The sequence below is a fragment of the Homo sapiens genome, chromosome 16, assembly GCF_000001405.40.
Source record: "Homo sapiens chromosome 16, GRCh38.p14 Primary Assembly".
NCBI lineage: Eukaryota > Metazoa > Chordata > Mammalia > Primates > Hominidae > Homo > Homo sapiens.
The window spans coordinates 80,964,512-80,992,469 of record NC_000016.10 but is presented as its reverse complement, the minus strand read 5'-3'; the positions used below and the strand labels follow the sequence as shown (position 1 = coordinate 80,992,469).

The following is a 27,958-nucleotide window of genomic DNA, read 5'->3' as shown; positions in this document are numbered from 1 at the left end:
GGACTGCAAATTGTTATAATCTTTATAGAGAGGAATTTGCTGCCTTGTAGCAAAACTGCCGTATATTTGCTTTTTAATCCATCAGTCCCACTTATAGGAATTTATCTTAAAAGTATAACTCTAACAGTATGAAAAAATGTATGCATAGAGTTATTTACTGCAGTGTTGTTTGCACTTGGAAAATGTTGGGAACACACTTTCCCAACGTAAAGTAGTTGAACGACCTATGGTGCATCCACACAATGGAGCACTATACAGCTGTTTTGTAATTTTTATTTTTAAATAGACTTTGTTTTTTTAGAACAGTTTTAGATTTACAGAGAAATTGTGAATGCAGTACAGGGAGTTCCCATATACCTCACATCTAGTGTCCCTTATTATTAACATCTTACATTGATAAGGTGTTTGTTACAGTTAATAAACCAATATTGATACATGATCGTTATTTAAAGTCCATGCTTACTCAGATTGCTTCAGGTTAGTGTTTACCTAATGTCTTTTCTCTGTTACAGGATTCCGTCCAGGATACACATTACACTTAGTTCTTGTCACTCTTTAGGCTCCTGTTATCTGTGACATTTTCTTTGTTTTTGATGACCCGAAAAGGTTTGAGGCATAATGGCCAGGTATTTGGTAGAATGCTCCTCTGTTTGAATTTGTCTTGTTTTCCTCATAATTGGATTGGGATCATGTGTTTTCGGATGAAGACCACAGAGGTAAAGTACATTTTCATCAAGGCTGCATACTACAACATAATTTATCACTGTTAATGTTGACGTTGATCACCTGGCTGAGATACGTGTTAGGTTTCTGTACCTTTTTTTTTTTTGGAGACAGGGTCCACTATGTCTTCCAGGCTGGAGTGCAGTAGTGTCATTTTGGCTTACTGCAGCTTCAACCTCCTGGGCCTGGGTGATCCTCTCATCTCACCCTCCCGAGTAGCTGGGACTACAGGCCACGTCACCATGCTCGAATAATTTTTTGTATTTGTATATTTGTAGAGAACGGGTTTTCGCCATGTTGCTCAGGCTGGTCTTGAACTCCTGGGCTCAAGCAATCTGTCTGCCTTAGCCTACCAAAGTGCTGGTATTACAGATGTGAGCTATTGCACGTGGCTAGGTTTCTCTGCTTTGAAGTTACTCTTTTTCTCCCTTTTCATAACTCTTTGGAAGGAAGTCACTGTGTGCAGCCTACACGTAAGGACTGGGAAGTTACCCTGTTCCTCCAAGGTGGTGGAGTATCTACATAATCTTGTGGAATTCTGTTCTGGAGAGTTGCCTGTTCTCCCCCATTTATTTACTTATGTCAGTATGGACTCATGTATATTTACTTTATACCTTGGGTTATAATCCAATACTACTTTGTTTTGTTGCTCAAATTGTTCCAGCTTTGGCCACTGAGAGTCTTTCAGTTGGCAGTGCAGCTGTTAAAAAAAAAAAAAAAAGCCAGGCTTGGTGGCTCAGTCCTGTAATCCCAGCACTTTGGGAGTCTGAGGCGGGAGGATTGCTTGAGCCCAGGAGTTCAAGACCTACATGGGCAACATAGTGAGACACCTGTTTCTAGAAAAAATTAAAAAAAATTATGTCACTAGATGACACATGCCTGTAGTCCCAGCTCCTCAGGAGGCTGAGGTTGAGGTGGGAGGATCACTTGAGCCTGGGAGGTCAAGGCTGCAGTAAGTCATGATTGTGCCACTGCATTCCAGCCTGGGTGACAGAGTAAGACCCTGCCTCTGAAAAGAAGAAAAAAAAATTTCTTTGAACCAACATGTAATGACTTCCAGGATATATTTCGTGAAGAAGTCAAAGGACAAAACAGTATTTATAGTATCCTAGCGTTTGTATAAAAAAGGAGGAGAAGATAGCAAAACATATTTGTATCTCTTCATTTGTGCAAAAAGAAACAAGATAACCAGAAGCTAATGAGATTGATTACGTTCTGAGAGGTTGGTAGGAGCAAAGCAGAGAGAGTGGAGGAGTGACACTTTTACAAAATCTTTTGGCCGGTGGCGGTGGCTCATGCCTGTAATCCCAGCACTTTGGGAGGCCATGGCGGGCAGATCACTTGAGTCCAGGAGTTTGAGACCAGCCTGGCCAACATCACAAAACTTCATCTCTACCAAAAATAAAAAATTAGCTGTGCGTGGTGGCGGACCCCTGTAATCCCAGCTACTCAGGAGGCTGAGGCAGGAGAATCACTTGAACCTGGGAGACAGAGGTTGCAGTGAGCTGAGACTGTGTCACTGGACGCTAGCCTGGGTGACAGAGTGAGACTGTGTCTCAAAAAACAACAGAAAAAAATTATATGTTTTGTATAATTCATGCTGTTTGAACTTTGTTAATGTTTCATATACTCAAAAAAAGGGGAGGGAATGAAAAAAAGGATGAGCAGAGTTGGGAAGAAAACTCAAAAATGGAATACAAGCAAAACCAAACAAACTTACTTGAAATGAGTCATCTAATTACACTAAAGAAAAAAATGAACTAACCCAAGTAATTTGAACGTAGGCTAAAGACAAAGTAGAGCTGTTGTTAGTAGTATGGATTTTGCAGCAGTGTGGATTGGCAGTTCTGACACTGGCTTCTATGTATTCTGTGTATTCCAAGACTGAGCAAATAAGTAAACATATTGTAGACGAAAAGAGACAGGTTTCTTACTGTCATAAATATAGAAGTGGAAAGACTAGGATGTATCCTGTGATGTTGGATTGGAATTAGAGGTATCAGTGTGAACTCATGGTTTTCAATATATATAAGATGTAGAATAGATAATGTGTGTCTATGTTTGTTTCATGTATATATTCAATATATGTTTTCCTGTAGCAATGAGCATACGTAACGCCCAGATTTTGTTTTTTAAATACCGCTCTTCCGTAAACAGAAACAGGGATCCTTGGAGAAATGACTGATTGTAGGGCTAGGGCTGGGAAAGAACAAGAAGAACCTGCAACATCTTGTACCAGAAAGTATGACATTTATCAAAGAATGATAGGGACTGTTAAAAGGACAGGGGCTAGCTTGAAGGGATTCCCACTGGCCAAAAATGGGGCAGAGCATCAAAGTAATGAAAATAATATAATCAATTGAATAAGGATCCATGAGTCCAAACTCATATAAATATATAAATGGATGAGAAGGGAAAGTTTCCCTTACAGTAGAATGCCAACTAAAATATAAGAGGAGTGCTAGAATTAGAAAATCACTTTTTGTTAACTGTTGTAGTAGTAATTGATTTAGTCAGTAATCATTAATAGATCCTCATACTAGTGGGTGAAAAGTTTGAGGAAATAATTGGATAGTTAAATGGTCTCAAAGTGTGTCCCCATAATAATTAGAGAGGAAAAACGAATACGGTGTAGAAACTTGGCAGGTAGCTTCTTACCTAGGTAATAAAAGTTAACATCAATAATGGGACAAATTGCCATGTGCCTCTTGATGTGATACACTGAAGACACAACATCACTTCTAGGGTATTCCTGCCAAAAAGTCACGACCTGAATCGAGTTGTGAAGAAACACCAGACAAACCCACGTGGGGGAGCATTTTGCAAAATAACTGGCCTGTACTCTTTAAAATGTTAAGGTAATGAAAGAAAAAAGAGACAAGCTGTTTCAAATAAAGATTAAAGATAAGAAAAATATTGTTTAGAGTTGGAAAAAAAAAAGACTAAAAAGACGTGACAACTAAATGCAATGGCAATCCTGGATCGGGAAAAAAAACCCACCCAACTTTTTTTGCCTTTTGCATGAATGATATTATTAGGCAAATTGGTGAAATTTGAATAAGGTCTATAAATTAGATACTAGTGTTAATGTTAATTTCCTAATTTTGGTAATCGTATGGAGACTTAAATTTAAGTCCTTGTTTTTTTTAGGAAACGTGCATCATATCTGCAACTTACTCGGTTCAGAAGAAAAGCTCGGGTGTATATGTAAGAGCTAGAAGGATAAAGCAAATTTGGTGAAATGTTACTATTTGGAAATTCTTTGTACTGTTCTTGGAACTTTTCTTCAAGTTTGAAATTGACAAATGTTTTTAAAGACATCTGCTGTCATCAAGAAATACTTTACCTAACTGATCTTTCTGAAGACTTGCACTTTTTAAGTGTTAAATTGAGCCCAGGAGTTTGAGTGTATAGTGAGCTATGATGTCACTCCGGCACTTCAGCCTGGGCAACGGAGTGAGACCATGTCTCTCAACAGCAACACCACCACCACTTAGTGACTTAAAACAACCATAATTCTGCAGGTCTATATCTGGGGGGGAAAAGTTAATTAAAAGTTTATCGGGAGGATGTCTCACTCTGTCACCCAGGCTCGAGTGCGGTGGCACAATCAAAGTTCACAGCAGCCTTGAACTCCTGGGCTCAAGTGATCCTTCTGCCTCATCCTCCTGAGCAGATGGGAGTACAGGTGTGTGCCATCATGCCTGGCTAATTCAATTTTTTTTTTTTTTCCTCCTAGAGACAGGCTCTCCTGTGTTGCCCAGGCTCATCTCAAACTCCTGGCTTCAAGCTGTCCTCCTACCTTGGCCTCCCAAAGTGCTGGGATTACAGGCATGAGCCACTGTGCCTGGCCTGATCCCAGTTATTTAATTAATAAATCGAGTGAATTATATTACCTAAGATGTCTTCTAGCCCTGAGTTTGTGTAATTCTGTTTTAGTCTTTTTTGTTGATTAGTCTTCCTGAATACCCCTGTCTGTGCTGGAATGCTGCAGTGCTCTCCAACCTGCTTGAAGTGCATGAGTGTTTTATCTCCAAATAGCCTACCTTGCTGTGCTTTTATCATTCTTTCCGTGCTTTTATAGTTCTGCTGTGATCTTTGCAGGCAAGTGTTATTTCCACAGCTTTCAGGTGTCTGTGGGTGGCTTCTGATCTACTGGCCTATTTTGCCTAAATTTGTCAGCAAGACTTAGATATTCTTTGCATCTGAAGGTAAAATACAGAATTTAGAACAGCTTATTTCGTCAAAGCTACTTGGAAATCCTTGTGTATTTTTTCTGATTTATAAAAGTAATATGTAAATAATACATATCATTTTAGATAGTGTTAAAAAAGTAGGAAAGTATAAAGCAAACAAAAATTACCTTTTGTTCAACCATCCAGAGATAAACTCACTAAGTACTGGGTTTTTCCACCATTTAAAAATTTTTGTATTTTCCCTTTTTCTCTTCTTCTTATTAGCATTTTGAAATGCCCACTTTTTTTCCATCGTGAGAAAATAAATACATAAGATTCCTTCCCATAATCCCAGCCTTCTGGTATCTTGTGTTAGCGTCCCTTTCAGAGCTATTGAAAGAATACTGCTTTCTTCTTTCAGGTTGGCTTCTACCCTCACTAGGGTCCCAAAACTTTCAAGATCACTAATGACTGCACTACTGGCAAATTTGGTGGATGTTTTCAGTAGTTACCTCACTTTTCTCCCAGCAGCAATTGATTCCCTCTCAAAACACTCTTCCACAGGCTTCTACCATAACTTTCTCTTCCCTGGTTTTCCTTAAGTTTTTTTGGCCACTCTTCAGGATACCCTAGGCTACACCTTCCTGCAAAAAATCATTCGCTTTCCTGGTTTCAGTAACTCCCAAATCTGTATCTCTGGCTCAGATTTTCTCTGAGTTCCAGGTTTATCTCAGCTAGATAGTGGACTTAACTGTTCCACCAATAAACTCAACATGTCCAGATACAAATTTATCTTATCTCTTTTTAAAACTTCCACTGTCATTCTTGGCTGAAAGCCAGTGTCATCTTTAATTCCTCCATCTGCCTCACCTCTTCCTGTGAGTCCTTACCAGGGCTGTGTGTTCTCTGCCGAATCTCTCTTGAACCATTGTTCTCCTTTGCCAGTGCCACTGCCATAGTCCATGGCAACACTTTTATTGGGGCCACCTGTAAAGGACTTCTATCTGGTCTCCTGGCGGTTTTGTTTTCTTTTTTGTTTAAATCAATTTTCCACCCTGGATTTAGAGTGATCTTTCAAAAATAAGTTTAATCATTGTTACCTTTTTTTTTTTCTTTTGAGACGGAGTTTCACTCTGTCGCCCAGGCTGGAGTGCAGTGGTACAATCTCAGCTCACTGTAGCTGTTAGGAATCTGCATTTTATTTATTTATTTAGTTAGTTTTGAGGCAGAGTTTCTCTCTGTCGCCCAGGCTGGAGTGTAGTGGCATGATCTTGGCTCACTACAACTTCCGTCTCTCCGGTTCAAGCGATTCTCCTGCCTCAGCCTCACGAGTAGCTGGGATTACAGGTACCAGGCCATTATGCCTGGCTAATTTTTGTATTTTTAGTAGAGATGGGGTTTCACCATGTTAGCCCAGGCTGGCCTCAAACTCCTGACCTCAGGTGATCCGCCCGCCTGGGCCTCCCAAAGTGCTGGAATTACAGGCATGAGCCACCGCACCTGGCTCATTGTCACCTTTTTAATAGATCCTTTTGCCTATACAATGCGTTATAAATGTCTTGCCTTGTGTTTCAAGTCCTTAATGAAACTCATCCTTGAGTAGCTGTTAGTCTTCACCACTCTCCCACAGCTCCTTCCCCTTCATTCCTGTGGTTTTTTTTTTTTTTTTTGCAGGTATATGGGAGAATGATATTTCTGTCTTCCAAGCCTTGATTTTTCCTTTGCTGAGCTTAGTGCATTCCTCCTGGCTCCACTTACTGTTTGCTAAACCAGGTCTTATCATCCTTCAGGTTTTCTTCAGCTTAGTTGGTCGTTTCCTTTTCCCTTTCCTGGCCTAGATTCTCCTGGTGCAGTCACTCTGTTTGAGTAGCATCATACATAACAGCTTTTCTCCTTCGTGGCAGTTCTCACACTTTTTGGTCTCAGGACTCTTTTGCACTCTTTTAACATTATTTAGGATTCTAGGGAGCTATTGTTTATGTGGGTGATATCTACAATATTTATTGGATTAGAAATGAAGGCTGAGAAATGAAGAAAAAATTATTTTAAAATTACAATGATAAATTATAATTTTACATGTTAAGATGACATGTTAGCATAGTTATTTTTCACGAAAATCTTATTTTTCAAACCAGAAAAAAGCGAAAAGAATTGCATTGCTTTTCATTTTTTAAATGTCTGAATTAATAAAATATACCTGAATTCTCATGTCTGCCTCTACATTCAATCTGTTGTGATGTTAGACTTCATGTAGCCCCGGGAAAACTCCGCTATACCCTTGTGGGAGGATGAAAATGAACAAAACAAATGTTTTTGTATTATTGAGAAGATAGTTTTGACCTTGTACCTTCCCTGAAAAGGTCTCAGGAACCCCTCGGTGTCTCTGGACTGCACTTTGAGAACCACTGCTTTATGGCAGTGACTTCTTATTTGCCTCTTTCCCTCTGACTATGTACTGTGAGAGTAGGACCCAGATCCACCTTGCTCACTTCTGTGTCCCTGGTACCTGGGACATTGTTCTTTATGTAAAAGGTTCGCAGATATCTGTTGATTCACTTATTCAATCAGTTACTCGGTTGGTTTGGTTCTCAAGAAATTGACACCAGGCACTAGAGACTCAGTCCATGTAAGTATAAGAAAATTGTAGCCTGTGGGCATTTCTTCTACCAATTTCTCTGGGGCACTTGGGTCTAATATTTTTCATGTAACATCACAAGAGTATAATTCTCATTTTACCTTAGTTAATATTGAGGTAAAAGGAAGCATATAAATTAGTTTTTGTCATGGATTTTTGAATTAAGATGTACATATGTGGAATGATATGAATAAATGTCAACTATGTAATATTGCCTCACATTTGAAAAGTCTACTTGACTTGAAGGCATGAAAATGCATTGTCATGTTTATTTGTTGTCAAGGAAGTAGTAGTATAGTAAAATACACAGGAAATATTTATTCTTTGGGAATGATAGAGGAAAGAAAAAAGTAAAATAAAAATTAAGTACAAAAAGTTTTTTTAATTAAAAAATTTATTCTGGAAAGGTCATTAGGTAACAAATAGGAGACTTTAGTCTATGTTAAATGCTTTCTGGAAAAACTGACCACTTATTCAGTGTGGAATTGAAACGTACGTTTAAAATGGTGGTGAAGCAGGAAAAAAAGAAATAGCATGAGGCATAGCTTATTAATTATGTGTTGTCTGGTTTCCATGAAAGCCTTAATTAGAACGAAAAGGAAAAGATGTGCTTATTATTACAACTACCAAGTTCAGCATTTATGACCTGTCATTATAAAACAGATCACCATGCTGTCTGACCCACCCTTGAAAATCGTGAAGTGCAAACACACTAATTATGTTCCTACTGAAATTCAGGTTCTTAACTTCAGGCTTCAGCTTAACCTGCTTTAGAGCACGCATACTTTTTGCCACGATAATACTCATAGGACTAGAAACAACTAGGAGATGTTATTTTATTTTTTAAATCAGACTGAACTTCAGGCAGATTTCCTTATATTGTAAATTAGTGGCTTATTTATATGACCTTTATAGGGCATCTAATGATAGTGGGTTTTTTTTTCTTTTTTTTTTTGAGATGGAGTTTCGCTCTTGTTGCCCAGGCTGGAGTGCAATGGTGCGATCTCAGCTCACCGCAACCTCCACCTCCCAGGTTCAAGCAGTTCTCCTGCCTCAGCCTCCAGAGTAGTTGGGATTACAGGCATATGCCACCATGCCTGGCTAATTTTGTATTTTTAGTAGAGATGGGATTTCTCCATGTCGGTCAGGCTGGTCTCAAGCTCCTGACCTGAGGTGATCCGCCCACCTTGGCCTCCCAAAGTGCTGAGATTATAGGCGTGAGCCACTGCGCGCATCTGTGTTACTTATTTGATGTATTTTGGTGACATTTTGAATGGGGGCAAATGAGAAAAGGGCTCTGGCACTAAGCATTTATTAGATAACTCTTTTACAGGACAGTGTTTGGTAGTGAAGTTACTCTGCCCATGGCAGTGTGGCCATGCTGCAGCTTGACACCACTCCCTGTAATAGAGAATGGATTGTGCTGTGATTTTAACATTTCCCTTAAGAAAAGGGTGTTAGGTTATGATAAAACTTTTATACTGTCTTTGTGAGGTTTTGGTGAGTTAGTAAGTAGGCTTCCCTATCATTAAGAAAAAGTCTTTAAATCTTTGTTTCTACTTGCAGAACATTTATTCCTTCTTTGTAAGAAGAACCAGGATAATTTGTTCATTTGTATAGTTGATCCTTGAACAGCTTGGAAGTTCGGGGCACTGACCCCCATGCAGTTGAAAGTCCACATATAACTTTTTGACTCCCCAAAAACTTGTCTGAGAGTTTCCTGTTGTCTGAAAGCCTTACTGATAGCATAAATAGGTGATTAACACATGTTTTGTATGTTATATGTATTATATATTGTATTCATGCAATAAAGTAGGCTAGAGAAAAAATAAGGAAGAGAAAATACATTTATGGTATGGTATTGTATTTATTGATATTGTAAGTTTACATCATCTGTTTACAAGATGATGTATGTCAGTCCGAAATGGTAGGTAACCACAGCTGCAGACCTCAATCTACAGTACATTTCAAGTAGTTCAACTTTTTCCTGTAATGTCATTACTTTTCTCTGCTTCTTGGGAGCACTTCCAGCATTACTAGTGGCACTTCGTATGGGTCCCATGGTGTTATTCAAGTTTTATGGTTATTACAGTAAACATGACTTGCTTACTGTGTATGTTATTGGTATCACAGGGTGTTATAAGTGGATAATTGTAGTGTCTGAGCCCAGTGTAATAGCAATAGGAGGTGACTTCAGAATTATTACGGCAGTACAGTATATACCGCAGTTAATTTTATGTAGTTGTGATTTGATATATCTTTATGTTTGCTTACAATTCTCTCAAATTTGAATGATGCTATTTATGTTCTGTGTGTGTGTTAGTTTTGATAAATTTTATCTTTTTAAAATTTGTATATGTTTTATGGTAGTAAATGACAAAATAGACTAGTATTCACTTTTTTTTTTTTTTTTTTTTTTTTTCCTGAGACGGAGTTTCACTCCGTCGCCCAGGCTGGAGTAGTGCAGGGGCGCGATCTCGACTCACTACATCCTCCGCCTCCTGGGTTTAAGCAGTTCTCCTGCCTCAGCCTCCCAAGTAGCTGAGATTACAGGCGCCCACCACCACGCCTGGCTAATTTTTTGTGTACTTTTAGTAGAGATGAGGTTTCACCATTTTGGCCAGGCCGATCTTGACGCCTGACCTCGTGATCCACCCACCCGTCTTGGCCTCCCAAAGTGCTGGAATTTACAGTTGTGAGCTACCGTGCCCGGCCAGTATTTACATGTTTTACACATTTATGCCGTATCTTTCTCTTAAATTTTTTTGATATTTCTAGGCTATGGTAGTTCATCTGTGAGGTTTTTTTTAATTGTTCCAAATGTTCAAAAATGTTTTCAATATATTTATTGAAAGAAAATCCAGGTATAAGTGGACTCATGCAGTTCAAATCCATGTTGTTCAAGGGCCAACTGTGTTTTATACATGTGATTTAACTATTACTTGTTTATTAACAAAGTGACACTGTAAACTCATGTCTGTGGCAGTATTTAAATTTTATGTGCCCCAAACCTTGGCATATTATGGGATGAAATATTTTACTCCTTTTCTTCCTTTTAGCACAACATTCTGAAATTTTTTGGTTATTGTAATGATGTTGATCGGGAGTTGAGAAAATGCCTGAAGAATGAGGTAAGAAAAGTGTCAAAGGATGGATATGGTTGAACAATAGAACAGAACATTTTTGAATATTGTGTATTACTGCCATTATTGAATTTTTCCCACATTTTAGTGTAACAGAAAATTGACTTTACATGTATGAACTTCCTCTGTTTAGGGGAAGAAATGAAAGCTTTTCTGGGGACAGTTTTAGAACATGGCTTTTTGGCCATGAACACAAATGAGGAAAACAACTTCCTTATGATGATTACTGTAGGTCATCTGGATGAATTTAATGGTTTAGGAAGTTGTATCTCTGGCCGGCAGAAAGACTTATATCAGTCACCTATTAGCTGATTGGTAGGTAACTAAAACTCTCAGGGCCTCAATTTCTATATATAAATTGAGGAGGCTAGAATTAGGCTGTTTTCAGCTTTAACATTTTGAATTTCTTTGTAGTTATGGTTTGTGTAAGCCACAGGGATCTAATTTGACTTGTTTTGGAACACTGTCATCTCCTGAACTTGATTTTAGGGCACAACTTGGACTTGGGCAAATAGCCACAGTACACAGTTCATTGTCTTTTTCCAGGCACTGCCAAATAAGCAGAGTGCATTTTAAACCTTTGAAAAGAAATTTGATTCAATTTCTGTTTCATACATCAGATTTTTTGTGTCCAGAACTTTTAAAAATATATGATGGCTAAAATTTTGCCTTTCAGATATCATTTTTGTTATTTTTGAACTTTTTTTTTTTTTTGCCTCATATTGAAAGATTTAAATATAATATTTGAAGTTGTCCAACATCTTTCTTTTGATTTTGTTTTCTGCTTAGGCTGTTTTTCCCTTCCTGGATTCCCTTTAAATTGTGACATTCACCTTTACTGTTTGAAGAACTTTTTGGAGTACTCAGTGAAGAGTAATAGTTTGTTTCTTTTTTTCTTTTTTCTTTTGAGACAGGTTCTTGCTCTGTCACCTAAGCTGGAGTGCAGTAGGGTGATCGTAACTCACGGAAGCCTCAAACTCAAGTGATCCTCCCACCTCAGCCTCCTGAGTAGCTAGGACGACAGGTGCGTACCACCATGCCTGGTTAAGGTTTTACACATTTTTTTGTAGAGATGAGAGTCTCACTGTTTTGGCCAGGCTGGTCTCAAACTGCTAACCTCAAGCAGTCCTCCCACCTTGGCCTCCCAAAGTGCTGGGACTACAGACATGAGTCACCATTCCCAGCCTTATTAGTGTTTTTAAATTATTTACTAAAAATGTTTGTCCTTTATATGAAAAAGCCAGTTTACATGAAAAATACACCTAGGGTGAGTCCTCCCACCTTGGCCTCCCAAAGTGCTGGGACTACAGACATGAGTCACCATTCCCAGCCTTATTAGTGTTTTTAAATTATTTACTAAAAATGTTTGTCCTTTATATGAAAAAGCCAGTTTACATGAAAAATACACCTAGGGTGAGTCCTCCCACCTTGGCCTCCCAAAGTGCTGGGACTACAGACATGAGTCACCATTCCCAGCCTTATTAGTGTTTTTAAATTATTTACTAAAAATGTTTGTCCTTTATATGAAAAAGCCAGTTTACATGAAAAATACACCTAGGGTGATGTTTCTTTAATAGTAAACTTGTGAGCTGGCATCTGTAATCCCAGCTATTCGGGAGGCTGAGGCAGGAGGATCCTTTGAGGTGAAAGCTTTGAGGCCAACTTGGGCAACATAGTGAGACCCTGTCTCAAAGAAATCTCTTAAAATTTAGCCAAGTGTGGTGGCACAGACCTGTGGTCCCAGCTACTTGGGAGGCTGAGGCGGGAGGATCGCTTGAGCCCAGGAGTTCATGGCTGCAGTGAGCTATCTAGGTCGCCACAGTGCTTCAGTCTGGGTGACAGAGTGAGACCCTATCTCTAAAAAATAATATTGGCCGGGTGTGGTGGCCCACGCCTATAATCCCAGCATTCTGAGAGGCCAAGACAGGCGGATCACCTGAGGTCAGGAGTTTGAGACCAGCCTAGCCAACATGGTGAAACCCAGCTCTACTGAAAGTACAAAAAAATTAGCCAGGCATGGTGGCGGGCGCCTGTAGTTCCAGCTACTCGGGAGGCTGAGGCAGGAGAATAACTTGAGCCTGGGAGACGGAGGTTGCGGTGAGCCCAGATCACATTACTGCATTCTAGCCTGGGTGACAGAGTGAGAGACTCTGTCTCTAAATAAATTAAAAAAAAATAAAATAAAAAATAAATAAAATAAATAGCTTATGGAAAAATATAGCTCATATTATTTTATTCAGTATGGCTATTTGTTTTTTACATACTTTCAGCTGTATAACATAGGTTTTTTTCATGTTTTTAAATTTTTTTCCTGTATAGTTCAGAAATTTTGCCACTGCTTTGTCAATTAGATCTTCATATGAAATTGTCTTCTCAGCTGGCCTGAGATCTGTTAGTGACTTTTTGGTAGACCGTTGGAGATATTTTTCTTATTTTGTCTGAGTTTGTTTTCCTATACATCTCATGTTTTCTCTTTGAATTCTTTTCTAAGTCCTCTGTGTAGTTATGTTACTTTATTCTCTAATTTGTAGATGTTTATTCTCTAATTTGTAGATGTTTTTCTGTCTGCTTGCCCATCACTAATCTCTGAGTCTGCACTCATGTATTTCTTCTCTACTCTTAATGCTTGCTTCAGATGCTTTCCTGCTACTGTTTGCTTCATATGTCATCTGATTACTTCATTCCATGAAGCTTTTTTATTTTTTTATTTTTTTTGCCAGAGTCTCACTCTGTCACCCAGGCTGGAGTGCAGTGGCGCAATCTCAGCCCACTGCAAGCTCCTCCTCCCGGGTTCACGCCATTCTCCTGCCTCAGCCTCCTGAGTAACTGGGACTACAGGTGCCCACCACCACGCCCAGCTAATTTTTTGTATTTTTAGTAGAGACGGGGCTTCACCGTGTTAGCTAGGATGGTCTTGATCTTCTGAGCTTGTTATCCGCCCGCCTTGGCCTCCTAAAGTGCTGGGGTTACAGGCGTGAGCCACTGCGCCCAGCCTCCATGAAGCTTTTAAGTAGAAAAAGGGTATGGCCATTTCTTGTTGGGACTCCGCTGTGTCACTCCTTTTATTCTTTTTTTTTTTCTTTTTTTTAGAGAGATGGAGTCTTGTTGTGTTGCCCAGGGTGGTCTCAGACTCCTGGGCTCAAGGAGTTCTCCCATCTTGGCCTCCCAAAGTTTTGGATTACAGGTGTGAGCCACTGCACCTGGCCTTTTGTTCTTCTTCTTGAAAAGAAACACTAATAGTACTTTTGTGGCATTCTCTTTTGTCCCTCTTAATTGTTTTGTTTGGTTTGGGGTTAATTGGCCTTTCATTCTGTCTGTATTGTTTGATTGAGTTTTGTGAGTAACTTCATATTCATCCTTTTCTCCCCTTTTATTCAGGGACCATCTGGACTTCCTTTGGAGATGTCTTAGCATATTTTAATGTAGACTATATTTTAATTTGCTTTGTAACTTATTTTATTGGCCTGCTACAAAGTATTATCTTCTGAAGAGTTTCCCTTAAGACCCTTCTCAACCTGATTGCTGGGGGCAATCCAGTAGACGTGATTAAAGGTAGATATGAAAGCTTTTTCTCAGAGCAGGTATCCTTCCTTGTTCTAGAATACGTTTTATTGATTTTTTCCCCAACAATTTTATGAGTAAATTTAATGTATGATAGATAAAATGAATGACTTTGAAGGGACCTGGTGCTTCATGTGTAATTTAAAGTAGCTTTTTTTTTGAGACGAAGTCTCACTCTTGTCACCCAGGCTGGAGTGCTGTGGTGCGATCTCGGCTCACTGCAACCTCCTCCTTCTGGATTCAAGTGATTCTCCTGCCTCAGCCTCCTGAATAGCTGGAATTACAGGTGCATGCCACCATGCCCTGCTAATTTTTGTATTTTCAGTAGAGACGGGGTTTCACCATGTTGGCCAGGCTGGTCCCTAACTCCTGACCTCAGGTGATCTGCTCGCCTCAGCCTCCCAAAGTGCTGGGATTATAAGCATGAGTCACCGCACCCGGCCTGAAGTAGCCTTTTGACAAGGAAGTAATAAAAAGTTTGAAAACTACCATTCCAGAAGATATGTTAGAATCCTTCAGTCAAAACTTTTGACCTAGAAAACTTCTTAAAGATTATCTAGCCCACCTCCTTATATTTGAAGTTACTGGTCCAGAAGAGTGAAGTAACTCAAAGTCATGAATCCCCTCATTACTCTCTCTTGGGTGGCGGGGTTTGTCCCTGATGAGCTCGGTATCACTAATCTTTAATTTCTGTGGCCTCGCTCTCCAGATCTGTGGCTCCTAAAAGATTCTGATGTTTAACTGTTCACATGTTTTCAGTTTTTTCTGTTTGAATTTACTTTTACCCTTTTCCCCTTCTGCCCAGGGGAAAACACACTCATCCACCTTTAAAGTGTGTTGGATTGGTGTATGTATTATAAGCATGTACATATATACATATAAAAACACTTTTAAGGTCCTCTGCTTTAAATGTAGGTTAACTATTTAAGAAAATCTAAGTGCCAGGCTTTGTGTCTCCTGTTGTAACCTGCTGGCCAGATCAGAATACTAGGCTGAAAACCTCTTGAGGTGAAAACTGTGTTTATATGTAGCTGATTAAGAAACATAGGATTTGAGGAGTATCAGGTTTGTTAACTGTTCGTGATGAAGAAACCTTGGGAAGTTGAGCTATGTATTTCCATATGAGTCAATAGGATAATATGGTTGCTAAGAGCTAGTTACTCTTGATAATGTCTAAAGAAATACAATGTGAGCTGGTCTAAGATGTAGGCCCACTGTAGTCTATGTCTGTCATTGTGACTGGAGCACTGTATTCAATTTTGGTTGTGATTTTTTTTTTTGGTAAGGGGCATTAATGTTAAAGTGCTTTATGAAATAAAAGTCATTTTATAGGTTAGATATTAAAAGATGGAGGCTGTGTTCTGTGCAGCAGTTGTGGAAACTAGCAATGTTCAGCGCAAAAGGTAGTAAGTGGGTTATCTGTAATTAAATGTTTGAAAATTATAGCAGACAAGAAGAAATAAAAGGTGGTAGTTGACAAGGCAGCACTTTTGGTTTAAAATGAAAAACTTTGGAACGAGTAGAATTGTCCAACAGTTAGACAGGCTACCTCTCAAGGAGTTTACAGGGAAGCACTTTTGGTTTAAAATGAAAAACTTGGGAATGAGTAGAATTGTCCCAACAGTTAGACAGGCTACCTCTCAAGGAAGTGAGCCTCTCCACTAGAGGTACTCAGCAGAAGTTAGAGGACTAGTTAGACTGCAAGCCCCTGGAGAACATGGACAGAATTTGCCCATCTTCAGTACTTATTTAATTCAAATTTTGGGAGGAAATTGATTGAGCAAACATTTGTGCATCTATTAGCATGTAGATGCTGTACTGTATTGAATGAAATTGTGCTAGATATGAGATACTCTCTAAGGTAACTATTTCCAATCTCAGATTTGGTTAAATAAAAGATAAGAATTTTGTCAGTAAGAACATGTTTAAAAAATTTAAACCCTGTTAACCTCAAAGGACATTTATATTTTGCAAATATTTCTAAATAGTAAACTGCTATAAATAGTGACATAATCTGCTGTTTCTTTTCTCCCCCCCTTCTTTTATTTTTCAGTACGTAGAAAACAGGACCAAGAGCAGGGAGCATGGCATTGCAATGCGAAAGAAACTTTTTAATCCTCCAGAGGAATCCGAAAAATAAATTGTATTTTCACTCGATGCCTTGGCTGAGAGAAGACCTAAAGACTCTGGGTTGATACCTGAAAGAATCCTGTCTTATTTGGTCTCCATAATCCTTTGAATGGAAAGTGACCTGTGAGAGATTGAACCATGGAGAAATATGAAAACCCTGGATTCTGAGTATTTGTTGGGCAGGGCGTTTAGTACTGTCTCCCCTTTACCAGCAAACCTGACTTCACCATGTTTATTCCCTTTGCCTACAACCAGTTAATATCTGAGTAACTTATCTCCTTCAATAAAATAATTTAAATAATTTTTTTCTCCTTTCTCTTAGATTCTTTTGGCATTAGAGGAAAATGTTGCCATTAGGCTTTTTCTTTTTGACAACATGATGTTGAAGAATTCTGGGGAAATCCCAGCAGTGTTAACTATTTGAAAATGTTGCAACTTTATTGTTTTTAAAGAGTGATTTTCTAAATGATTAAAAAAAATTTTTTTTTTGAGACATAGTGTTACTTTGCTGCCCAGGCTGGAGTGCAGTGGTGCGATCTCAGCTTACTGTAACCTCCACCTCCCGGATTCAAGTGATTCTCCAGCCTCAGCCTCTCTAGTAGCTGGGGCTACAGGCGCAGGCTACCATGCCTGGCTGGTTTTTGTATTTTTGGTAGAGACAGAGTTTTGCCATGTTGGCCAGGCTGATCTCAAATTCCTGAGCTTAGGTGATCCGCCCACTTCAGCCTCCCAAAGTGTTGGGATTACAAGCGTGAGCCACTGTGCCCAGACTAAAAGATTAAATATTTACACTTAACATTGATAAAATTTCATCTGGTTAGGAATTGAGTCTTAGCAGACTTTGCTTTCCCATTTGGTTGAATGTGTCCACTCGAGGTGCCAGTTAACTCCTGGACATTAACCTTAGGCCAGTGTGTCTCCTCTCTGCTGAGTATAGGACTGTTCTTCCCGTGCCCAATTCTAGCAGTCATTTCACCAGTGTTCCTTCTGCCAAGTGTTTCTGAGACCTGTGACAATCTGGAAGTCAGCAGCTTCCAGCTGCAGTCACAGCAGGGGCTTGATCTTGTCAGGTGTCAGGGAACAGACTCAGCTGTGAGCTCCTTCTAGTGGAGTTCTGTGTATAATATCCAGCATGAGGCCTTGTTGGTGTTGGTGTTTAATAAGTGACTTCCCCATCACAGGAGGTATTCAAGAAGCTGGACTTTCGCTCAGTACGTCGATTACAGAGCATAACAGACATTCAGTGAAAGGATGGGGAAAGAACCAGAATTAATTCTGAAGTACCTTCCAAGACAAAGTGTATGAATATTTATTCAGTCCCCCTAGTGTCAGGCAGTAGAAATACAGAAATGAGACATTTTGCCTTTAGAATCTTGTAGTTAACTGAAAAGTTGACTTTTAGTCACCTGTAATCATCAAAGTGCCATGATTAGGTAGATGTCATAGAAGACAGAGGACTTTCATGTTCAGTCTTCATGAAGAAGGAGCTATTCCAAGAAAGCTATTTAGCAAAGATGACCTTTGACAAATGAGTGAAAATGGGATACATTCTGAGGCGCACTTTAAGGCATTTAGCATGACTAGAATATGGGAGCTTAGAGTGGAGGAAGATCATAGACAGCTTTGAAATCTGTTGGAATTTTATTTTCAGTGCTGTGATGACCAGTTGCAGGTTTTAATATGGTGATTAGGGATTTGGGTAGAGGAGTTAGTTGGAAGGCTGATATATTTCAATTTGTATTTTAGTAAGTTTTTTTGGTTATAGTTTGGGGGATAAATTGGAGGGGAAGGAAGATAACGCCCAAGGAGAGCAATTAGGTTTTTGTGCTAACTTGAGTGAGAAATGAGGGCCTGGATGAAAGATGTGGCTTTGGGGATTAGGAGGAGTGACGATTCAAGCATTGAGTCAGCATGACTGACTAGGTGTAGGGTTTAAGGAAGTGTCTAGGATGTCTCAGGCATTTGATTTGTGCCTGCTTGGGAGGGAGTACTGGGGAGGTGAAGTGTGTGTGGAGGATCCAGCGGGAGAGGGCTTCCGGGTTGCTGCTGGGTATTTAGGTCTGCAGCTTGTTAGAGTCACCTGGATTAGAACAAAATTGGGAGATGTCAGCATGCAGATGCCAGCTAAGGCCCTGTAGGCCAATGTCAGTAGCTGACCATAAGAGCAGGATGAAACTTTGGAAGTTCATTCTTAAAAATTTTATAAGTAATATATGAGTACGTTTTTATGGGATATTCAAACCACCTACTGTTTTTAGGTCTTACTCTCTTGTGTTGCAGCTGTTGCTGATCCCTGTAGAGTAAAGTACACACTGAAGGCTATGGCAATGATCTACCTTTCCAGCTTCCTCTAGGAAGGGAGTTTGACAAATAAAATGCTAGTGAACTGGAGCACAGTGAGCAAGGGGGAGGGTGGCATGAGCTGAGGACACAGGTGGGCAGGGCCAGAACACACAGGCCTTGGACATCACCTCAGGGAACTTGCATGTTATTTGGAGCATAATGGAAAACCATTAGAAAGTTTTAGGGAGTGGTTATGATTTCATTTATTTATATTTTATAAAGATCTTTCTGGTTATTCGGTGAATAGTTATGGTTAAACCAGTTCAACCCAGTGACAGTACCTGTCACATAGAGTTATTGTGAGGATTGGTTGAGATGTATGTGATAGATTATCTGGCACAAAGTAAGGGCCCCCTCAATATTGTTTTTCTCTCAAGTGCACCCAAATTGGGGTATTGGAAACACTTCCTCCGTAGTTTGGTAGAAGGCACCAAATCACTAGGGCTGATACCGTTTGAGTGGGGCCCCAGCTGATGGGGCAGGGGGTAAAGGGGTGAGGGGCTTAATATGAGGCAGAAGGAAGGGCCAGGCCTCTAGAACTCATCCCAAGCCGGCCCCATTCTCTGGCTCCCTGTACATCCTGCCTTTCCATAGAGGAAGCCAGTCCCAGGGGTGGCTGCATCTTATTCCATGCTTTACATCTCATCAGCCTTGCTGACTTTCCCCAGCCTGCTGTAGATCAGAGTGAAATCTGTTTCTCCTGTCTAGAGCAAGCGCACTTTTTCCTGAGGATTTCCAAATATTTTGAATTCCCATATGCAGTGGAAGCCGAAGAAGCTGGAGGGAGAGTGGGGTTGGGAGGTGCAGAGGTTCCATGTCTTCTTGCCTTTATGAAGCTTCTGGCATTGTGCTGGGTGCAGGTGATACCATGGAATAAGATGGATGTGGTTCTAGTGACGGTTCACATCACGAAGGACCATCTGTGTCCTCTTAGGGAGTCTGGCTTTCCTGCTAAGGGCAACAGGAAGGCATTGTAGGGTCTGTGCAGGATACCAAGTGAAGGAAGAGATTTCCTTACTGTGGACTTGCAGACGATAAGTAAACTTTTGGGTCATAAGAGACCATCTCTTGGAAGCTGAAGAACTTAGGCCAAGGTTTTCCTGAGAAATCTAGTTTTGCAGAATGTTGTGAACCTTGATGCTCTGGTGACAGTGAATTAATGGTTTATTTTAGGAAGCACTACACAATTTTACTTAAGAGTGAGGCTAGAAAGTTGAGCTGTTTCTCACCTTTTATAAATGAAGTTTAAGATCAGATTAATCTCCATGGAGTTTTTAGCTCAAAGCACAATTAGTTTTCTATAGAAAGGGCTTGGGCTGAACCAAATTATGCCATTGATCTGCCTGGTAGACATACAAATCATTCTGTTCTTAGAAAAAAACAAAAAAAACGAAAAACAAAAAATCCTCACTGTCCCAAGGGAGTTGCTCCTTTCACTACACCCTGATATTGAAACCCTGATATTGAAATTTGTGCCCCTTAAATGATATCATATTCAGGGAACCAGCTATACCAGAATCTACCTTAATCCATAGACATCCCTGCCTCCTCTAGAGAGGTCACTGAAGGAGATAAGTACATAGCAGAAAGTGGTGAAGGGAAAGCAAAGGGATGCTTTATTGTTACCAGTCTCCTGCCTCTGGTATCAGATGGAGCAGGTGGCCTGGGCTAGAGGCCTGTGGGGCCATTTCTGTCCTCTAAGCTCTAGTCTGATCTCACCGGCAGCTGGTCACATGGGAGGACAGGAGATGGAGAACAAGACTGACAGTAGGGAGGGGAGAGCAGAGACAGGTGGCTGAGTTTCTCTCACTTAGAGAAAAGAAACTGGCTGAGTGTATACCACGTCTGAAGTGAGCAAAAGGGAAGATTGCCCAAATCCTGTAAAGGACCTTTTTTGTGGTATTAATGCTATTCTTTTTTATGACAAAATGTTTCAGGTTTACAGAAAACTATACAGACTAATACGAACACTCACATAGCTGCTATCTAAGTCATACTTTTAAAAAATACAGGTTTAAAAAAATAATAATACAAAAGTGGGTAAAGCCTCCTGTGTTTGTCACCCCAAGCCCGTTCCACTTATTTCTTTATTGGTGGTAACTACTACCCTGACTTTGATATATTTCATTCTCATGCATGATTTCATACATATATATATATGCATGATTTCATACATATATATATATATATATATAAAATGTATGTATGTCAGTATCCATAGCCATATTTTATTTTGCATGTTTAGTCATTTTACTTAGGAGGCGTCATGATGTGTGTAGCCTTTGGTAGCGTACCTTTTTTTTTTAAAAAAAAAATACTATGTTGATAAATGAGGTTCTTGTTTATTTGTTTTGCCTGCTATATAGCATTTTGTTGTAGGCCTATACCACGGTTTATGTATTTCCCCGTAGATGGTCACTTAGATATCCAGTCTTTGCTATTGTAAACTTCAATGAACGTTCTTACTTACCTTCTTGTCCAATCTGGGAGAGTGTTTTTAGGTATAAACCTAGGATTTTAATTATTGGGCTGTAAGGTATGCATTTTCAAACTTACTAGAAGTTGCTAAATTACACCCCAAATGTTTTTAAGATTTTATGATTTGTATTTTTGTTGTTGTTTTTTGAGACAGAGTCTCACCCTGTCACCCAGGCTGGAGTGCAGTGGTATGATCTCAGCTCGCTGCAACTTCCACCTCCTGGCTTCAAGCAATTCTCGTGCCTTAGCCTCCTGAGTGGCTGGGACTACAGGCATGTGCCACCATGCCCTGCTAATTTTTGTATTTTTTAGTAGAGATAGGGTTTCACCATGTCCAGGCTGGAAAATTTTATGATTTTTAAAATAGTGTTCTTATACATCTTTTGCTAGATTTGTGTCTAAGGGGTATTTTTAAAATTACTTATTCTAATATCTCTTAAAATTTTTTTATAAAGCAGGGATTATAGGCATGAGCCCCTGCATCCAATTTATTCTAATTTCCTATTACTGATACATTGGAGTGTAATTGACTTCTGTATATTTATCTTACATTCAGAAGGCTTGCCAAACTTTCTTAATAATTCTGGGGCCTATAGATTATTTTAGATTTTTCTATGTAGACAGTCACATCACTTTTGAATAGTAACAGTAATGAATCATTTGTTTCTTTCCAATGTTTATACTTCCTTATTTTATTGTACTTAGAACATTCAGTATAATGTTTAATAGATACATCAGACTTCTCTTGTGACTGATGTTAAATCCTTACATTTCACTGACAAGTAGCAAATTTGTAGTAGGTTTTTGGAAGATGTCTGTTCCTCCCTAAGGAAGTTCCTTTTGGTAATTGTAGATAGACTTGCTCAACCTCTACTGCACCTCCTTCTAGTGTGCCTTCCCATATTTGTGAAACTCAAAAGCTAAATACTGCATTTTCTCCAATTCCTTTACAGTTAGGATTCCAGATAGGAATTAATGTCCATTAATCGGTGAGATTTGGATTTGGAATTGACTTAAATTGAGAGAGAGACGGTCCATGAAGCATCCATTTTCTGGTATGGATCAGAGCAGAAATGGTGGGGTTATAGAGCCTGCAACTGTAGCCGCAGTTTTCTCTTTTTTGCTAGACAGCTTTTTAATTGCAATGTGGCTCTGAAGTTTCTTCATCCCTCCCAATGGTCAGGTAAGTTATTTAAATACCTGTCTGTCATTGCTTACTACACTGTCCTTTTAATCTTCATTATATAAACAATAAAGACATACTTAATGCTCACCGCTAGTCTTGTGTTAATATCTCCCTAGTCATTTTGGTTGTCTGAGCCTCATTTTCCAGCAGATTCCTAAGGAAGTTCTCATGGGAACAATATTCCATGGGTTTTTTTCTTTTCTAATTGAGACGGAGTCTTGCTGTGTCACCCAGGCTGGGGTGCAGTGGTGTGATCTTGGCTCCCTGCAACCTTGCTGCCTGGGTTCAAGTGATTCTTGTGCCTCAGCCTCCCAAGTAGCTGGGATTACAGGCATGCACCATGATGCCCGGCTAATTTTTTTGTCCTTTTAGTAGAGACGGGGTTTCACCATGTTGCCCAGGCTGGTCTTGAACTCCCGACCTCAAGTGATCCACCTGCCTCGGCCTCCTGAAGTGCTGGGATTACAGGCCTGAACCACCGTGCCTGGCTCTCTTCATCACTTCTGTTGTCCCTATCCTGTTCAATTTTTTTTCTGCTCCCTGCAGTTCCTCCTCACTTTGGAGTCTTGTCCTGGGAGGGAACCCTACGGGATCAGTTTTGAGAGTTCATTAATGCTAAATTGTTCCAGCCCCTTCAGACCTTCCTGTGGGCCCCATTTACTGAAGTGGGCAAGAACCTTCCCAGTACCAATTGCTGTTCTCAAATTGGCCCTCCGGGCTTTGCAGTGAATATCTGTTGTTTTGGGTTCTTCGGTCCTTAGTTGGTTCAGGTACCTTGTGCCTCCCTGTGCTGCTTTCCACATCGATGCTGAGACCTCCCAGGACTCCTCTGGCTCTTGATGCTCTGTCCTCACCTCACTCATTTGTATTTTGGGATATGAGGGTTACATTTTAACCTAATTTTGTTGTAAATACTGTCTCTCCTCCTGCCCTTTTTATATCATAAAAAAGATAGTTGCTTCCACAGTCACAACTATCTTTCCAGAATTTCCCACCAGTAACTTTCTGACACACACACTTAACTTACCAATGGGAAACATATTTTTTCTGCTCAGAGCCCAAGGTGAGTCACACTGGCCTTACTCTTACCTCCCTATGCTGGCAAGTGTTATGTTTTCTAGTTAATGTTTTCTTAGAGGATTACCATCTCCTGGCTTTATGTGATATTCTTGTTTCTCACACCATTCCTCGTAGAGACTCAGTATCTTCCATCTTTTTCCATTGTGTTTATGAAAACCTCACTTCCTGGTACCTGGAACTGGTCTAGGCTGCATAGCATGTGCTGATGCACTTACTTTCTGGTTTACAGTTCTCTCTGATTTCAACCCCCAAGGATTTTCTTTCCTTTCTTGTGAGCTCAACTACACCTTTAAAAACTATATTTGATATATGCTATCTAGTATTTGTAGATAGCTTTTTAGCAGGAGTGTTTTCAGATTACCTAATGAGCTATTTTACCAGAAACAGATATCCTGTACATAAAATTTTACCTTGGAAAGACTGCCCCCTAGGAATGATTATATTTTCAACAGTTAGAGAACTAACTCATTCCTAGAAGATGGGGGGAGGATGGGAGTTGGGGAGGGCATGGCAAAGAGAGGAGTTATAAGAGCATCTTCTGTTCAGAGACCTTCATCTTCATCTGCATTTGGGCCATTAGACTGTGGTCCGTGGGCCAGCAGCTTTAGCGTAACCCGGGAAAGTTTGTTAGCAACGCAGAATCTCAGCCGTGTGGGGTGGCTTGCGCCTGTAATCCCAGTACTTTCGAAGGCCGAGGTGGGAGAATTGCTTGAGGCCAGGGAGTTCAAGACCAGCTTGGGCAACATAGTAAGACCCTGTCTCTACAAAAATAAAAATAAAAAAAAGAAATGGAGAGTTTTAGACCCCACCCTGACCTACTAACTGAGAATCTGCATTTTAATGAAATCCCCAGATGATTTGCATGCATATAAAAATTGGAGAAGCATTGACTTAGACTCTTTCTGATGTAACTGCCTTCCATAAAATGCCTACTTCTTTAGGGTTAATGACCTTCATCCACTCTTGTCATCACTTCTAGCTTACTCTTTTTTCTGCATTTAATTTTTAAGCAGTTTCCTCAAATAACTTTTGTATTTAAGTTTTTGAGAAAAGTTCTTATTGGTGATATATTATGTTGAGAATGTGATTTGAAAAAAAAATAGGAAGCGTTAATATGGTATGTTGTCATTGAATATGACAGCAAAATCTTAAGGGCAAAGCTGTTACGAAATTCTCAGGGCATTTACTTTTTCCTCAACTCTGGCGAGTAGAGGGCTAAGAAAGTAAAGCATTCTGCAATTCTGCATACAGAAATTTAGACCTGGCTATTTTTCACTGGAGTATTTGCTTACAGAGCATCCATATTTCCTAAAATGCTATGATTGGATTATTGAGCTAATGATTGGACTTGCTACAAATATTGAAAAGTACGAGGAAGGCTGGGCGAGGTGGCTCACGCCTGTAAACCCAGCACTTTGGGAGGCCGAGGCGGGCGGATCACGAGGTCAGGAGATCGAGACCATCCTGGCTAACACGGTGAAACCCCGTCTCTACTAAAAATACAAAAAATTATCCGGGCGTGGTAGTGGGCGCCTGTAGTCCCAGCTACTTGGGAGGCTGAGGCGGGAGAATGGCGTGAACCCGGGAGGCGGAGCTTGCAGTGAGCCGAGATCGTGCCACTGCACTCCAGCCTGGGCGACACGGCGAGCTCCGTCTCAAAAAACAAAACAAAACAAAACAAAAAACGAGGATATCTTTTCAAAGCAGATACAATTAAAGGAAAATTCTCTAGGGATAGTTCAAGTTGCTGTGATGGCTTTATCTGCTAAAATTTTAGTTAAGCTAGCAGATAATTTATGAGCAAGTTCATGATACATGGAATTCAGGTTATGTGTAGACTGAAAGCTCTCTGGGCTGACACCTCTCTGGGCAGACACCACATTATTCCTGTATCTGCAGCTCTTAGGACAGTGGTTAACACATAATTGGTATTCAATAAATGCTTTTTCACTGAATGAATGAATTTTTAGTGAATAAAGAATAAATAAAGTGTTGAAGTAGCCCAAAGGACTTTAAAATTTACATTTTCTTTTTCTGTAGATCACTTGATAGGTACATTGTTGGATGTAATTAAAATAAGACGGGCTCTATATGTCTACGAATAGGACAGTAGTTAAATAAACAATGATGCATTTACACAAAGGTATACCATGAATCTATACAAAGGAATGAAGATTTCGTGTGTCTGTATGTATGACTATATGGTGATTATATAAAGAAAAGAAGAAATTCCTAAAACTTGAAAACAAGCTGAAACAAATAACTCGAGTACATGTCAAGTTGATTTTATAACCACAGAAAGGAAATGATTATAAGTGTTGTTCAAATACAATATTTTGACTTTACATCTCCAGAAGGTGATACATCCTGAAGATAAGGAGAACTGCAAAAAAAGTAAAACTTTATAATAAAAATAATATTGTTTTGAAATTGGTATTATAAAATATCACGTTTTAAAGTTATGATGTTAGTGTCAGTAGAAACCAAGATTTTCAACCTAAGACCAAAACAAGATACAAGTGTAAAATTCAAGTCAAAACATGCATTAAATTTGAATTGGAAATAGTACTTTGAATTCATTATTTTTTTTAAGAAGTATTTCCTAATTCTGTCCACTGAAAAGGTCTTTGAAGCAATGACACCTCAGTAGCAATTAGCATCCTTAGCACTCAGATTATGCTTCCTAATACCATTGCCCACTAAAAACCAGGTCTCTTTGGAGAAGTGGCTGATTCCAGCTCTTGGGCAGTAAATGTCATGTTGAACCTGAGCTATCTTATGCCAGAAAGCAGGGGAAGCATCAAAGACTGCTGGGGTCCTGTCAATAAGACCCAGGAGCTACCTTGAAGGAGTGCCCAGTGGCCACAGGTGAAACAATGCTTACATCGAAAAGAATAGTGAATGCAATAGATTTATACGCATTGAATACGTAAATATCCATGAGTTCATAAAAATGCTTTGAAAGGCGTTAACATCACTGAAGGTTGTTAGGGTATCCAACTCATTACTGTGAAAGGAAAACAAAATATTTGTCCAAACTTTCTGGCATAAACTATTGAAAATAACCATAACCAAATGGATGACTGAGAGAAAGTTATTTATTTATTTATTTATTTTGAGACAGGGTCTCTGTTGCCCGGACTGGAGTGCCGTGGCATGATCTTGGCTCACTGCAACCTCCACTTCCCAAGCTCAAGCGATTCTCCTGCTTCAGCCCCACCAAGTAGCTGGGATTACAGGTGCATGCCACTACTGCCCAGATAATTTTTTTGTATTTTTAGTAGAGACGGTTTTCACCATGTTGGCCAGGCTGGTCTCGAACTCCTGACCTCAAATGATCCACCCACCTCGGCCTCCCAAAGCGCTGGGATTACAGGCGCGAGCCACTGCGCCCAGCCCATAAAGTTCTTTTTAACATATTTCTTGAGATATAATTCATATACCATGAAACTCAATCATTGAATAAATGGTTTTTATTATATTCACAAAATTGTCCAAACATCACCACAACCCAAGTTTAAAATATACAAGGTCAGGAGATCAAGATCATCCTGGCTAACACGGTGAAACCCCGTCTCTACTAAAAATACAAAAAAATTAGCCAGGCATGGTGGCAGGCGCCTGTAGTCCCAGCTACTCAGGAGGCTGAGGCAGGAGAATCGTGTGAACCCGGGAGGCAGAGCTTGCAGTGAGCAGAAATCGCGCCACTGCACTCCAGCCTGGCCGACAGAGCGAGACTCCGTCTCAAAAAAAAAAAAAAAAAAAAAAAACATATATATATATATATATATATATATATATATATATATATATGTTTTTTTTTTTTTTTTTTTTCATTCACGCCAAAAGAAGCCCTGTACTCCTTAGCAATCACACCCCATTCTCTTTCGCCTTCACAGCCCTAGGCAAATACTAATATGTTTTCTGTCTCTATGGATTTGCCTATCTTCCAGACATATTATATAAACGGAAGCTTTAGTTAAATATGTGCTCTTTTGTGATTGGCTTCTTTCACCAAGCATAATATTTTCAAGGTTCATCCAGATCGCGACATGATCAGTACTTTATACCTTCTTATGCTGAATAATAAAAATAAAGTTCTCAGCCTGGCCAACATGGTGAAACCCCGTCTCTACTAAAAATACAAAAATTAGCTGAGTGTGGTGGTGAGCACCTGTAGTCCTAGCTACTAGGTAGGCTGAGGTGTGAGAATCACTTGAACCTGGGAGGCGGAGGTTGCAGTGAGCCAAGATCGCACTACTGCACTCCAATCTGGGTGACAGAGTGAGACCCTGGCTAAAAAAAAAACAAAAAACAAGTTACAAAGCATCATTTTCAGCTCCTAATACAATAATGGGTGAGTGATGTTTAAAATTATCAGTGGGTGTTTGAAACCATTAGGTGGAAGAGAAAGTGGATAGTAGGAAGGTATAAAATTGGATGAATCACACCAGTGAACCCTGAACTCAGTGATAAATCTTAAAATTATTAAATCATTCAAAGA

The 27,958-nt window shown here is 39.7% G+C and overlaps 1 protein-coding gene across 11 annotated transcripts in view, besides 1 other annotated feature; it reads left to right on the top strand.

Moving 5' to 3' along the window:
* The window catches only part of CMC2 (C-X9-C motif containing 2), a 40,438-nt gene extending 14,416 nt beyond the window's left edge, over positions 1-26,022 (top strand). For 7 of the 11 annotated variants that reach the window (NR_147842.2, NR_147839.2, NM_020188.5 and 4 more), the window contains 2 exons: positions 10,593-10,664; positions 16,291-26,022. Coding sequence is in view for 5 of the 11 variants with exons in the window: in NM_020188.5 (NP_064573.1) it covers positions 10,593-10,664; positions 16,291-16,377 (159 nt within the window). In the remaining 6 variants the exon portion in view is untranslated. Of the gene's footprint in view, positions 1-10,592; positions 10,665-11,590; positions 11,701-16,290 lie in introns of all 11 variants that reach the window. The other 4 variants (NR_147843.2, NR_147841.2, NR_147838.2 and 1 more) reach the window with 3 other exon arrangements.
* Positions 19,504-19,798: a silencer, noted in NCBI's record as "tiled region #7727; HepG2 Repressive non-DNase unmatched - State 17:Gen3'". NCBI's record gives its function as "represses a minimal TATA promoter and a strong SV40 promoter by Sharpr-MPRA in HepG2 cells {active_cell/tissue: HepG2}" and the evidence as "EXISTENCE:reporter gene assay evidence [ECO:0000049][PMID:27701403]".
* Positions 26,023-27,958: the final 1,936 nt, after the last annotated feature.